Source organism: Homo sapiens, chromosome 15, assembly GCF_000001405.40.
Source record: "Homo sapiens chromosome 15, GRCh38.p14 Primary Assembly".
NCBI classification, from domain to species: domain Eukaryota; kingdom Metazoa; phylum Chordata; class Mammalia; order Primates; family Hominidae; genus Homo; species Homo sapiens.
Genome location: NC_000015.10, coordinates 64,336,555 through 64,352,256, shown reverse-complemented (window position 1 = coordinate 64,352,256; position 15,702 = coordinate 64,336,555). Strand labels below are relative to the sequence as shown.

The 15,702-nt window shown below is 39.9% G+C and overlaps 1 protein-coding gene and 1 non-coding gene across 5 annotated transcripts in view; one reads left to right on the top strand and one right to left on the bottom strand.

The window, feature by feature from the left end:
- Nucleotides 1-15,702, top strand: part of CSNK1G1 (casein kinase 1 gamma 1) — a 190,649-nt gene that overhangs the window by 3,917 nt on the left and 171,030 nt on the right. The window lies entirely within an intron of this gene.
- On the bottom strand, nt 9,559-9,691 carry LOC124900364 (small nucleolar RNA SNORA48). The gene has a single exon (XR_007064814.1). It is a non-coding gene; the product is annotated as a small nucleolar RNA SNORA48 (small nucleolar RNA).

The window sequence follows — 15,702 nt, the reverse complement described above, 5'->3', positions numbered from 1 at the left end:
TTGGCTCACTGCAACCTCCGCCTCCCGGGTTCAAGCAATTCTACTGCCTCAGCCTCCTGAATAAGCTGGAACTATAGGCATGCGCCACCATGCTGGCTAATTTTTGTATTTTTAGTAGAAACGGTGTTGGCCATGTTGGCCAGGCGGCTCTCTAACTCGTGACCTCAGGTGATCCACCCACCTTGGCCTCCCAAGGTGCTGGGATTACAGGTGTGAACTGCCCTGCCCGGCCTGCTGTGTTTTCTCGTATCATTTTTTTATCATCCTTTAAATCTTAAAGTTGAGATCATATGCTTTGGTAAAGCTCTCAGAAGCTCCCACTTTTTCCCCTGTCTTCTTCTCAAACTATAATACTGTATTAATATTTTTAAAAATCTTTTTTGTTTTTGAGACGGAGTTTCTGTTACCCAGGCTGGAGTGCCCAGGCTCAGCTTACTGCAGCCTCTGCCCCTCAGGTTCAAGCGCCCCTCCTGCCTCAGTCTCCCGATTAGCTGGGATTACAGGTGTGCGCCAGCATACCTGGCTAATTTTTGTATTTTTAGTGGACATGGGGTTTTGCCATGTTGGCCACGCTGGTCTTGAACTCCTGGCCTCAAGTGATTGGCCCGCCTCAGCCTCTCAAAGTGCTGGGACTACAGGCGTGAGCCACCGTGCCTGGCCCGATAATCTATTAATTTTGATATAAGAGATAGTATACTAGCTGCTAGAGTAAAAAATTCTATCTTAATTGTGTGCAATGAATAGAGACGGTTAGAGATTTCTCAATCACCACTTCCTCTCAAAGTCTGTGGCCGTTCCAAGGATCTTTGCAGTTGTCAGTTATGGAATTTGCTTGTCAGGAAATCTAAAAATGACTAAACCTTTGTTTAATATCTATCTCTTGGATGACCTCAGAAAGTTTTAGGAAAGATTGGGAAGGTTTATATATGTACCATATACTAGAATTAGATAATGAACAAAATACAGCTGAATTTATTGGCGCTATACAATCAGGAGTGAGTTACTGTGAAAATGTTATTAAAAAGTCCAGGCGGTGCTTTCTTTTTACTCAAACCAAATGAGTATTCTTCCAGAGCTCATTTTTATTTTAAAGCATATTTCTTTTATGGAGCTGTGATTTAGTCTCTAATAAGGATAAATAATCATTATATAAAAAAAGGCTGGTGTCATAGATTTTAGTACTACATATTGATAGAAACTGCTTCAGTGGTTTTAGATAAGTGTATTTTCCGGAAATAACTTTTGAATTTGTGGAATGATAGTTTTTCTCTTTTTAACAGTTAACTTGTCTCTACTCATTTCTGCCCAATATAGAAGCTCTGAGAAGCTGGGAGGAAAAAAAAAAAGAAAAAGAATGGATTTACTTCAGAATTACCATTTTAAGTTGTGGAGATTACTTATTTGGAGAGCAAAATTGGATTTTGACATTATTGGGATTGTGTTCAAGATGGACTCAGGAAAAAAAATTTAGATGCCATCTGTTTCAGATTCCTTCTCTCCCAACCCCTTTTATGTTTTATGGCTTTGAGTTCATCAGATTATTTTGTAAAAATAAAAATCCTCAGTAGATTTAGGTTATATAATATCAGCTCTATCAGTGAACATGTAACCAAAGATCTTGCATTTTTATATTGAGTTATACAGGATGATGACAGATACTGTTTAAAGTTAATTGTTATTTCAAACTATATGAATGGTAACTTCATGCATCTTTTAATTCTCACTGTTCACTTGATAAACCAATTTTTTTTTTTTGGAGACAGAGTCTTGCTCTGTTGCTCAGGCTGGAGTGCAGTGGCGTGATCTTGGCTCACTGCAAGCTCCATCTCCCGGGTTCACGCCATTCTCCTGCCTCAGCCTCCGGAGTAGCTGGGACTACAGGTGCCTGCCACCACACCCGGCTAATTTTTTTTCTTTTTGTATTTTTAGTAGAGACGGGGTTTCACCGTGTTAGCCAGGATGGTCTCGATCTCCTGACCTTGTGATCCGCCCGCCTTGGCCTCCCAAAGTGCTGGGATTACAGGTGTGAGCCACCGCGACCAGCCGATAAAACCATTTTTATAAGTAGTATTTAACATAGTCCACTTGTTGATGGAAGCTTAAAAAATTGATAAAAAGATATTTTAGATTAAATCTTTATTCACTTGATGTCTTAAAACCAGAAAAGAAGCTTCTTCTGAGGATTTTTAACTTAAAACAAGCTTACTTAAATTTACTCTTTCAGTAGTGGATTTTATCTTACCCTCTGTGCCAGTTGCTTAGTTTTCATCTAAATGTGTGCACATAGTTGGCACTTTTCATTTGGGATTTTTTTAATTTTTAATTTTTTTTTTTTTTTTAATTTTTGGAGACGAGGGTCTCAGTGTGTTGCTCAGGCTGGTCTTGAACTCCTGAGCTCAAGTGATCCTTCCACCTCAACCTCCTGAGTAGCTGGGATTACAGGTGCTAACCACCATGCTAGGTTCATTTTGGATCTTAATAAATTCTGACGGCAGGCTTTTGGGTTACTAAACTGTAAAAGACCAAACTTGCTGAGGTTATAACCTTAACTTAGCGGACCAGAAAGACTCAGTCATCTCAGAGAAATTGAAATAGCACTAGTGTGGTATCCCAGAAATGGCCTAAAGAGAGAGCCATCTGGATAGAAGCCATGCTTTGTCTGCAGCAGGAATGTTCTGATGAGATAGAAAGACAGATGGACTGTCCCCACACTAATGTAGTCTGTCCCTCACCCAGAAGCTCCAAGTGGGCAGTGTAGTTATAGTGGGGGTTGGGGTGCTAGGGATGGGAATTATTCTTTAATAATTTCTCACCCATCACATTGGAGGTGTGGGTATACTGGGTAGAGGGATATTCTCTTAGTTTTTGCCTTGTCCAGAGATGTCGGGTGAAGAGGTAGCCATTGCCCTTGCCACGAAAAGGGAGAAGCCTGGGTGCCGAGTTTGATGTCTCCATCAAAATGCTACATAAATTTGCCAGGGAACAATAGCATTGGATCCCCATGGATTTCTGCTGCTTATACATTCTAACTCCTTAGCCTATAAAAAGGGGTATTTACGACTTCCTGAATGAAAGTTATACATTTTCTTCTGTCTTGATACTTTTTTTTTTTTTTTTTTGAGGTGGAGTTTCGCTCTCGTTGCCCAGGCTGGAGTACAGTGGCGTGATCTCGGCTCACTGCAACCTCCACATTCCGGGTTCAGGCAATTCTCTTGCCTCAGACTCCTGAGTAGCTGGAATTACAGGTGCCCGCTACCTACCATGTCCAGCTAATTTTTTGTATTTTTAGTAGAGATGGGGTTTCACCACGTTGGCCAGGCTGGTCTCGAACTCCTGACCTCAGGTGATCTGCCCTCCTCAGCCTCCCAAAGTGCTGGGATTACAGGTGTGAGCCACCGCGCCTTGCCAATATGTTTTAAAATACACTTTAATTTCTCTGTTGACCATAATGAATGATGTGAAATTTTTTTCTTTTCTTCCTTTTTTTGGTGTTTGAGTATCCATGATAATCACCAGATCTCATTTTAGCTTTAGGATAAATTGCTAACCACAGCTGTGATCAAGCCGCTTCCCAGCTGGAATTCTTTTCCATTTCCTAGAGGTCACTCTCTGATGTGGGTGCTGGTGAGCAGAGAGAAATGACTAATGCCAGGAAAAGGCAAGAGGATTAAAATCTCTTAATTTTGTTTGCACTTTGCTAAAATTTCTGTAGTCTACAGTGGCAATATTTACTCTTTGAGATTGTGTATGCCCTATTGTGTTTTTTTCATTAATTTTTTTTTGAATACTTTTAGATTTCTGGAATAAGAGAGCAGATAGTACATAGAGTTCAGTGTGCTTCTCTCCTCCATCCCCCAGTTTCCCCTATTATTAACATCTTGCATTAGTGTGGTACATGTGTTACAATTAATGAAATAATATTGATACATTATTGTTAACTATAGCATCTGGTTTACACTAAGGTTCACTCTGCATTGTACATTCTGTGGGTTTTGACAAATGCATAATGACACGTATCCACCATTACAGTTTCCTACACATAGTTTCACCATCCTAAAAATCCTGTGTGCTTCACATCCCTCCTCTCCTGCCTGAATTACTGGCAGACACTGACCATTTTACTGTCTCTATAGTATTGCCTTTTCCAAAATGTCATATAGTTAGAATCATATAACATAGAGCTTTTTAAGATTGTTTTTTTTTTCACTTAGCAATATGCGTTGAATGTTCTTCGTGTCTTTTTTTTTTTTTTGACACAGAGTTGTGCTCTGTCGCCAGGCTGGAGTGCAGTGGCGGGATATCAGCTCACTGAAACCTCCGCCTCCTGGGTTCAAGCGATTCCCCTGCCTCAGCCTCCCGAATAGCTGGGATTACAGGCACATGCCACCACTCCTGGCTAATTTTTTGTATTTTAGTAGAGACCGGGTTTCACCATGTTGGCCAAGATGGTCTCGATCTCCTGACCTCGTGATCTGCTCGCCTCAGCCTCCCAAAGTGCTGGGATTACAGGTAGGAGCCACTGTGCCTGGCCTCTTCATGTTTTTTTGTGGCTTCATAGCTCATTTCTTTTTATTGCAGGACAATTTTTCTTTTCTCTTTTCTTTTCTGTACATTTTCCTTCCTTCCTTCCTTCCTTCCTTCTTTCCTTGTTTCTTTCTTTTTTTTTTTTTTTAAGACGGAGTGTTGCTATGTTGACCAGGCTGGCCTTGAATTCCTGGGCTCAAGCGATCCTCCTGCTTCAGCCTCCCGAGTAGCTTGGACTACAGGTGCAAGCCAGCATACCCAGTTGGTATTGCTGAATAATTTTCTGTTGTATAGATGTGCCACAATTTGTTGATCCCTTCACCATTTGAAGGACATCTTTGTTGCTTCTAGTTTTTGATAATGATGAATAAAGCTGGTATAAACATACATGTGTAGGTTTTTCTATCATTAAAAGTTTTCAGCTCTTTTGAGTAAATACCCAGGAGTGTGATTGCTGGATCTTATGATAAGACTATTTAATTTGGTAAGAAATTGTCAAACTGTTTCCCAAAGTGGCTATACCATTTTGTATTCCTACGAGTAATGAATAACAAGAGTTCCCGTTGTTTCACGTCCTCACTAGCATTTCGTATTGTCTCTTTTTTTGTATTTTACTCGTTATCTAATAGATATGTAGTAGTATCTTGTTTTAATTTGCAGTTCTCTATGATGTTGGGCATCTTTTTGTATGTTTGACATTTCTATACCTTTTTGGATGAGGTATCTGTTCAGGTCTTTTGCCCATTTTAAAATAAGGTTGTTTGCTTCTTGTTGAGTTTTAAGTGGTCATTGTGTATTTTGGATACAAATCCTTAATCAGATATATTTTTTGCAAATATTTTTTCCAGTCTATGGCTTGTCTTTTTATTCTCTTAATAGTGCCTTTCATAGTGCAGAAGTTTTTAATAAGGTCCAAGTTAACCTCTTCTCTTTCATTGATAATGCTTTTAGTGTTATATCTGAAAACTCATTTCCAGCCAGGTGTGGTGGCTCACACCTGTAATCTCAGCACTTTGGGGGGCCAAGGCAGGCAGATCACCTGAGGTCAGGGGTTCGAGACCAGCATGGCCAATGTGGTGAAACCTCATTTCTACTAAAAATACAAAAATTAGCCGGGTGTGGTGGTGTGCGTCTGTAATCCCAGCTACTCAGGAGGCTGAGGCAGGAGAATCACTTGAACCTGGGAGGCGGAATTTGCAGTGAGCTGAGATCGCACCATTGTACTCCTGTCTGGGCAACAAGAGCAAACCTATGTCTCAAAATAAATAAATAAATAAATAAATAAATAAATAAATAAATAAATAAATAAAAACTCGTTTCCAAACCCAAGGTCACTTACATTTTCTCCTATTTATCTTCAAGAATTTTTTATCGTTTTGTAGTTTACATTTAGTTATAAGGTTTATTTTAAGTTAGTTTTTTTTTTTGGAAAGGTGTAAGGAATATGTGTATATGCATGCACATGGGTGACCAATTGTTTTTTTTTTAATTTATTTTTTAATTAAAAAAAATAAACAGAGATGAGGTCTCACTATATTGCCCAGTCTGGTCTTGAATTCCTGATCTGCCCACCTTTGCCTCCAAAAGTGCTGGGATTGTAAGTGTGAGCCACTGCATCCAGTCGTGACCAATTGGTTTATGCAAATTTTTTCTGCCGGGTGCAGTGGCTCACACTCAGCACTTTGGTAGGCTGAGGTGGGCAGATCACGAGGTCAGAAGATCAAGACCATCCTGGCCAACAAGGTGAAACCCCGTTTCTACTAAAAATACAAAAATTAGCTGGGTGTGGTGGCGCATGCCTGTAGTCCTAGCTACTTGGGAGGCTGAGACAGGAGAATCGCTTAACCAGGGAGTAGGAGGTTGCAGTGAGCCGAGATTGTGCCACTGCACTCCAGCCTAGCGACAGAGTGAGACTCCATCTCAAAAAAAAATAAGTTTTTTTTTCTATTCTACAAGCGTTAATAAGGATGTTCTTAAAGAAACTAAAACAAATGAAATAATCTGTGGGAGTTATTTTTAAATGAGAGTTTCCTAACGTTCTCGAATGTAATTAGAAGCATTGTTCAGAGTGTGGTTTTCCCTTTCAAGAAGATTGATTTTAGGTTATTAGGTCTTAATTGACAACTGCTTAATTATTTCATACATGTATTAGAGTCTTAGGAAGTATGAGCTAAATGTGGCACAGTCATGTGATGTTTCAGGTTGTAAAGGGGCTTGATAGGAAATTTAAATGCAGAATTTTTCAACTGTCACTAAGGACAAGAGCCTTTGTCACTTGGGTTTTATTGTTGCGAAGGGTTTCAACTATACAGATTTTGATCACCCTCTCTAGTGTTTGCTGCTGCTTATTACACTTGTTGAAGACTATCTAGAAGCTTGAGCTGGCAAAAACTGAATAGGAAGCGCTTCCATGGGTACTGCTGTACTTTCCTGAATATTTTCAATTCTGTCTCAGGCTGAGAATCTTGATTCTAAAAGTAATAGAATGCTGTCCTGAGACATTTTATTCTCATGTAGCCTGAGTACTAATTGTTAGCTAGAATCCTCTTTCACTTGGCTTTATAACTGTCCTGTCCTGTACTTCTAGAACAGCTTCTATTTTCTAAAACATTTTAACCTTAATTGGTATAATGACATCTAAATATTCTGGTCATCTAGGGTATGATGCAAGAATTGTTTAATAACTCTGTTTGGTGAGTTTTGTTTGTTTTTTCACCTAGTTAAATAAGTCAACTAGGAACTGTCTGTGTGAAAGCACTTAGATTCTCCAGAGATACATTATCTCCAAATCAATCAATATGAAGGCTCACTTTGTCTTTAATGGGATCCATCTGGTTAATGCTGTGTTTCTTGAGTTTCATAGATTATGAAATCATAAAGCTAAAAGAAAATATGGAGATGGTCTAGTTAGACCCTTTCATTTTACAGCTGAGACTACTTAAGTGCAGAGAGGCTAAGTGACTTGCTCAAGATTGTACAGCTAATTAATGAGTCACACTGGAATTCAGTGTAGTCTTATTTCTGATATAACTGTGCTAATTTTTTCATTGCAGTTAGTGAAGAAATTATGGATTTATAAGAAGTAAATTTTCCAGGAGGTTTAAGTGGACTTAAATTAAGTATTTCTTATAATTGAAATGTGTATATTTCTTTCAGGTACCAGGTGTCACTGGATTTCTATGAGCAAATTTGTTATGTTTCACGTTCCAGATAGAAATCAGCCAATTTAAAAATAGTGGTGAAGTTATTATAGCCTATATTTAATGAGCACACATTTGGCTGCATTAAAATGAATCTTAATGTATTTTTTGCACAGCGGAGATAATCTGTTAATATTTAATGCCATAAAGCAACAATGGAATTCTGCTTTCATGTGGTGTATTTATAAAACTAGAGTAGAGTGTTATGTAAAAACTAAAAGTACAGATTAATTTAATATGCATCTGGTGAATTCAGGGCTTGAAGGATGCACATCTGTTGAGAAAACAAATCATAGAACTATTCAGAGTTTCAGCATCTTTAAATATGTGCGCTTTGATTCTGTTTTAACTGTTTTGAAACAGTCTTTAATGGATTTAGAAAAGGCCATTTGCTCTAAGGAAGCAACTGTGAAGCCACTTACAATGCTATTATTCATTTTATTATTTTTTAAAGCATTTTTATACATTACTATTTTTCTTTCCAATTTATTTATTGGGGAAGGAAGGGGCTAAATGACTCACCATAACAAAATGAGTTTGTTGCAGAACCATGTTTAAAAAGAAAGGAATGTAATTTGCTGAATTCAATAGATTAGAAATATTTTAAGGCTTTGTCAAAATAATACGCCAAAAAATATTTTAAGGCTCTGAATTCTAATTTGAACTCACAATCAGTGAAGAAATAATCAGTTTCTACTGTGTATTCATCACCATACTAGAGCTGTGGTAATATAGAAATTGAAGATATAGTCTATATCTTCAGCTTCTATATTACCGCAGCTCTAGTATGGTGATATAGATTATATCTTCAATTTCGAGTTGAAAGAAACAAGACTTAAAATGAAAGGTAGAGAATAACACAGATATGTAATGAAGCAAAAACTTGATCTAATCTGTCAACATTACAGTAATTTAGAGGGGAGAAAATCCAGTGAGTATTCACAATTCTGACAGGAAGGAGATTAAAGTTAAAGTAGTGGATCTCAACTCTGACTGCTCCTTAGAATCACTTGGGAAAACTTAATCAAAAATCAGATGAATCAGAATCTTGGGTGAGGTGCATCTGCAGTTTTTAAAAGCTTTCCCAGATGTTTGTAATGTGCAGGCAGTGTTAAGAATCACAGGCTTAAAGGCTGGGTTTGATTTGGAAAAGCAAGAAAGTGTACTAGGCCAGCACAGGGTGGGAGAATTGGCCACAGTCTGTGAAAAGATTAATCCAGTCAAAGCAGTGTGTGCTAGGTGGGGAGGAAGGAGAAATAAGCCTACAGAGGCAGAATGGGGTCTATTTTAGAAGAGGTGTGTGTGTGTGTGTGTGTGTGTGTGTTGGAGTTTTGCTCTTGTTGCCCTGGCTGGAGTGCAATGGCACGATCTCAGCTCGCTGCAACCTCTGCCTCCTGGGTTCAAGCGATTCTCCTGCCTTGGCCTCCCGAATAGCTGGGATTACAGGCATGCGCCACCACACCCCGCTAATTTTGTATTTTTAATAGAGGTAGGGTTTCTCCATGTTGGTCAGGCTGGTCAAGATAGAATAGTACTTTTCAAAATGTGGTTTCTTGACCAGCAGCAGCAGCAGCAGCGTCTCCTGGAAATTTATTATAAATGCAGATTTTAAGGCCCTGGTCCCATACCTACTGAATTGGAAACTCTAGACTGGGGTCCAGCAATCTGTATTTTAACAAGCATGCCAGATGATTCTGATGTACACTCAAAGTTTGGGAACTGCTGTTAAGAGAGGATAATGAAAGTTAGGCAGAGGAAATTAGATTTGATGTGCTCATAAGCAGGGATCCATAGAAGATTTTTAATTTTTATTTTTTAATCATTTACTTATTTTCCATGTATCCAAGGCACGAACCAGCCATGGGCACAGACCAAGAGCCAAGATGGGATAAACAAGGGTTGCTTTATCCCTGGATGACATGAGATGGACATCACCACATTAAAGGTTCTTAAGCTAGAGAGTAACAGGAAGTATCTGTATGTATTCAAGGTAAATCTGATGGTGATCTGCACAATACTTTGGATTACTAAAAGATATGAATGAAGTGGGCTGGTTGAGGAAATGCAGACATAATCTAGTGGATGTAATCTAGCAGCAGTAAAGGCTTGTTCTAGGGAAGTATTAGTGAGAAAACATAATACTAATAATAGTGATGGCAATTTATTGAGAGTTTACATAACAAGTGGCATGTTAAATGCATTTTATTCTCACAGCAAGCCACTGAAGTGTGGCTATTCCAGTTTTACAGATCAGCAAATGAGGCAGAGAAAGGAAGGTTACTTCTGAAGTTCACACTGCTGGTATGTGGTGGAGCCAGGATGTCAAGCTCAAGAATCTCTGCCTCTAAAGCCTCTTGAAGAAACAGCTAATAATATCTGGAGAGCCACGAGAAAAAGGAAAATACTTGAGTCTGAAAAGTTTTAATCCTACTTGACAGAGTGCAAGGGGACGTCACTGTCGGAAGGGAAATAGTGCATACAGTGGGTAACAAGGGAAGTCATTTAGCCAGTTGGGAACAAACCATCTTGTAAAAGTGACCATGAGGAATAACCGATGGAAATTTTTGTATAGTGCTTTTTCAGTATAAAGTTCGAAGTAACTTTCAATAGTTGAGTTTATAGGTTTTGTTTGTTCTTGCTCATGCTGACTAAATTAGAAGAGTCACCTCATCCCGCTTTTAAAAAGGGTCTTTTAGATTTTAGAGTAGATAGTCTGTGAGTAAGTCATGCCCAAGAAGCTTACTGTAATACCACTTTTCCCTCTCTAAGCATCTTAGTCTTAAGACAGTTTAAGCTGAGTGTGGTGGCTTATGGAGGATCACTTGAGGCCAGGAGTTCAAGATCAGCTTGGGCAACATAGCAAGACTCTGTCTCTATAAAAAATAAAAAAAAATTAGCTGGGTGTCATGGCACGAGCTGGTAGTCTCAGCTACTCAAGAGATTGAGGCAAGAGGATTGCTTGAGCCCAGGAGTTTGAGGCTGCAGTGAGATCTGATCATGCCACTACACTCCAGCCTGAGTGACAGGGCAAGATGTCTTTGAAACCAACCAACCAACCAACAGAAGAAATAAATGACAGTTTAATAAATATTTCAGGCCGGGCACTGTGGCTCACGCCTGTATTCCCAGCACTTTGGGAGGCCAAGGCGGGTGGATCATGAGGTCAGGAGATTGAGACCATCCTGGCCAATGTAGTGAAACCCCGGCTCTACTAAAAAGATAAAAATTGGCCGGGCGCGGTGGCTCACGCCTGTAATCCCAGCACTTTGGGAGGCCGAGGCGGGTGGATCATGAGGTCAAGAGATTGAGACCATCCTGGCTAACAAGGTGAAACCCCGTCTCTACTAAAAATACAAAAAATTACCCGGGCGCGGTGGCGGGCGCCTGTAGTCCCAGCTACTCGGGAGGCTGAGGCAGGAGAATGGCGTGAACCCGGGAAGCGGAGCTTGCAGTGAGCCGAGATTGCGCCACTGCAGTCCGCAGTCCGGCCTGGGCGACAGAGCGAGACTCCGTCTCAAAAAAAAAAAAAAAAAAAAAAAAAAAGATAAAAATTAGCTGGACGTGGTGGTGTTTTTGAGACAGTGCCTCACTCTATTGCCCAGGTTGGAGTGCCGTGGTGTGATCATGGCTCACTGCAGTACCAACTACCCAGGCTTTAAGTGATCCTCCCACCTCAGCCTCCTAAGTAGCTGAGACCACAGGCACACACCACCATGCCTGGCTAATTTTTAAAAAACTATCTGTAGAGACAGGATTTTGCCATATTGCCCAGTCTGGTCTTGAGCTCCTGGGCTCAAGTGATCCTCTGGCCTCGGCCCCCCAAAGTGCTGGGATTACAGGCATGAGCCAACATACATGACCTTAAAGTGGTTTCACAGAAGTTCTACCTAGCAACTTCATTAGCCCTTTGCTGCAAGGTAATTAGGCTGCCCAGAATAAAACTGGACTTTACTGAGGGAGTGGTGATTCTGGGAAAGCCACCTGCAGTCTCTACCACATCATATAACAATAAAAGGTTTAGTTTACCAGGAAGATACTAGAATTCTGTTACTTATACCAGATAATACAGGTTCAACATACATAAACCTACATAACAACTACAAGGAGAAATTTATAAATTCACCATTATATTAGAATAGATGTTTTTGACATTAAAACAATACTTCCTGCCAGCAGAGATGTGCTAAAGAAAAAAAAATCATTAAAACAACACAACAAGACAGAGCTATTGGGTGAATATAGAACATTGTACTCAAGTTTTAAAGAATTAGTTTCATACAGTTACTACTATTTGCAGATATAGTTACTTTGTGGAATCCAAAATTTCTGTAATGCGAGAGGTAACAACCTTCAAAGTAGCCCTGAAAATCTCAACAAATTCAAAGAATATGTATTCTATAGACCAAACCTTCGATGACAGTGCAAACTAAATTAGGACTCAGTTTTTTAAAAAAATGACCTTTAAAAATGTTTGGAAATTTAAAAGAACACATCTAAATAACTCTTGAGGTTACAAAAGAAATAATGATAGAGGTTTACCAATGCATAACACTGAATGTTAATTAAAAAAACAACATCAAAATTGATGGATGCAACTTAGTGGTTCTTGGGCATAGCATATAGTCAAGTTTCATAAATACTCTGTGAGAGTTTGAAAAGACCATTCTCTAGTTGAGGGCAGTGGTATTAATAGAGGAAAAGAGCCTCAGAAATTGAGAACTGTCAGTCACTCCTCTTGATTTAATATTCGTATTTAAGGCCTTGTGCAATTTGTCCTCTGACAGTTGTCAGTGGGCACTACTGCTCCTCCTGTTTCTTTTGCTTTAATCTTAATTACATAATTAAAGTTCTCTTATTAGACACTAGTGGTTCTAAAATGTTAGCATGTATTGGAATTTTCTGGAGGGTTTGTTAAAACACAGATTGCTGGCTGGGCTCATGTCTGTAATCCCAGCACTTTGGGAGGCCGAGGCGGGTGGATCACCTGAGGTCAGGAGTTTGAGACCAGCTGGGCCAACATGGCGAATCCCTGTCTCTACTAAAAATACAGAAATTAGCCGGGCGTGGTGGTGGGTGCCTGTAATCCCAGCTACTTGGGAGGCTGAGGCAGGAGAATCGCTTGAACCTGGGAGGCAGAGGTTGCAGTGAGCGGAGATTGTGCCACTGCACTCCCCCTTGGGCGAGAGAGTGAGACTCTACCTCAAAACAACAACAACAATAACAACAAAAAACAAAAAAACACAGATTGCTGGTCCTCACCCCCTGAATTTCTGATTCAGCTCATCTGGGGTAGGGCCTCCAAATTTCCATTTTCAGCAGATTTGCAGATGATGTTCATGCTGGTGACCTAGGGACAATGCTTTGAGAATCACTGTACTAGAGATTACATTCACTTGACTGTATCCCTTGTAACTGCTAATTCTTTTCCTGTAGCCCCTTTTCTCTCCTCCTTAACTTTTTCCCTTCAGAATCCTGCACTTTAACTCTCCCCTTTTCTTGGAAGTACTTTTTTTTTGAGATGGAGTTTCGCTCTTGTTGCCCAGGCTGTAGTGCAGTGGCGTGATCTTGGCTCACTGCTATCTCCACCTCCTGGGTCCAAGCCATTCTTCTGCCTCAGCCTCTCAAGTAGCTGTGATTACAGGCATGCAGCACCATCCTTGGCTAATTTTGTATTTTTAGTAGAGACGGGGTTTCACCATGTTGGTCAGGCTGGTCTCGAACTCCCAACTTCAGGTGATCCACCAGCTTCCACCTCCCAAAGTGCTGGGATTACAGGTGTAAGCTATCGCGCCCGGCCAGAAGTGTTTTTTTTTTTTTTTTTTTTTTTTTTTTGAGACCGAGTTTCACTCTTGTTGCCCAGGCTGGAGTGCAGTGGCACGATCTCAGCTCACCACAACCTGCACCTCCTAGGTTCAAGCGATTCTCCTGCCTCAGCTTCCTGCGTAGCTGGGATTATAGACATGTACCACCACACCCAGCTAATTTTGTATTTTTAGTAGAGATGGGAGTTTCTCTGTGTTGGTCAGGCTAGTCTCGAACTCCTGACCTCAGGTGATCTGCCTGTCTTGGCCTCCCAATGTGCTGGGATTACAGGTGTGAGCCACCGCGCCGGGCTCAAGTGTTTTTAACCATCAAGTTGTTAGATGTCCCATGCCTATGCTTACTTAGAAAATGGTTCTTGCACATCTATAGAAGTCCTAATCTTGCTATCATACTAAATATCACTTCACATCCATTAAGATAGCTATTAAAATACACACACAGAAAGTAAAAAAGTAGTGAGGATGTGGAGAAATTGGAACTCTATTTATTGCTGGTGGGAATATAAAATGCCGCAGCCATTGTGGAAAACAGCTTGGCAGTTTCTCGAAAGGTTACACATAGGACTACCATATAGACCCAGCAGTCCTCTCTTAGGCATATATCTAAAAGAATCAAAAACAGGGTTTGAAACAGATGTTTGTACAGTACCTTTATAACAGCATTCATAATAGCCAACCAAGCGCCTGTTGACAGATGAGTGCATAAACAATATGTAGTATATACATACAAAGGAAGGAAATTCTGACACATGCTATGACGTGGGTAAACTTTGAAAACATGCTTAGTATAATAAGTCAGACACAGGACAAATATTGCATGATTTCACTTATGAGCTACCTAGGATAGACAAATTCAAAGACAAAGTAGAATAGAGGTTATCAGGGGCTGATGGGGCAGAGAAAAGCAGAGCTATTGTTTAATGGGTACAGAATTAATGTTGAGGATAATGAGAATATTTTGGGTATAGATACTGGAGACTGTTACACAATATTGTGAGTGTGTTTTCATGCCACTGAATTGTACATTTACAAAAGGTTAAATTATAAATATTATATATATTTTATCACAGTAAAAAACAAAGCCAGGTGGGTTCACATCTGTAATCCCAGAGCTTTGGGAAGCTGAGGTGGGAGGATTACTTGAGGCTAAGAGTTTGAGACCGGCCTAGGCAACATAATGAGACCCATTCTACAAAAAATAAAATAGGCATGGTGGTACCTGTAGTCCTAGCTGTTCGGGAGGCTGAAGTGGTAGAATAGCTTGAACCCAGGAGTTCGAGGCTGCAGTGAGCTATCATGGTACGACTGCATTTCAGCCTGGGTGGCAGAGCAAGATTCTGTCTCTTAAAACAGACAAAAATGTTAGTATATTACTGGAAAAACTTATTAGAAGTCTTTTTTGGTGATGAAGTTTCACTCTCATTTTTTTGTCATATGTTTCTATGAGTTCTGCTTGCTTTTGTTTTTTTGTTTTGTTTTGTTTGAGACGGAGTCTCGCTCTGTTGCCCAGGCTGGCATACAGTGGCAAGATCTCAGCTCACAGCAACCTCCACCTCCCAGGTTCAAGCGATTCTCCTGCCTCAGCCTCCTGAGTAGCTGGGATTACAGGTGCCTGCCACTGCGCCTGGATAATTTTTGTATTTTTAGTAGAGATGGGGTTTCACCATGTTGGCCAGGCTGGTCTTGAACTCCTGACCTCAGGTGATTTACCCGTCTTGGCCTCCTGAAGTGCTGGGATTACAGGTGTGAGCCACTGCGCCCGGCCGAGTTCTGCTTTTTTCAAAATAACAAGCATGTGTTTCTGAATCAGAAAAAAGTAAATAATACGTTAAAAAGACATATGTGAATATTTATAAAATATGTTTATGTGAAGGATTTTCTGTAATGTAAATCTCACTAGTGAAAATTTTTATATTACTTGAGTAGATGATTTTTCCATAGAATCGTGACTAAAACTGAGTTTTCCATGAACTGTTACTAACCTGTAAACTTCCTCTCTAATGAAAGTTATATTTTCCTTGGTTATAGATGCTTTCTAGTTTGTTATATCTATGTCAGTTATTTTGAATCTCTTACATTTTCAGATCAAAAATTAATTATTATTGTTATTTTTTTGTTTGAGATGGAGTCTTTCTAAGTTGCCCAGGCTGGTCATG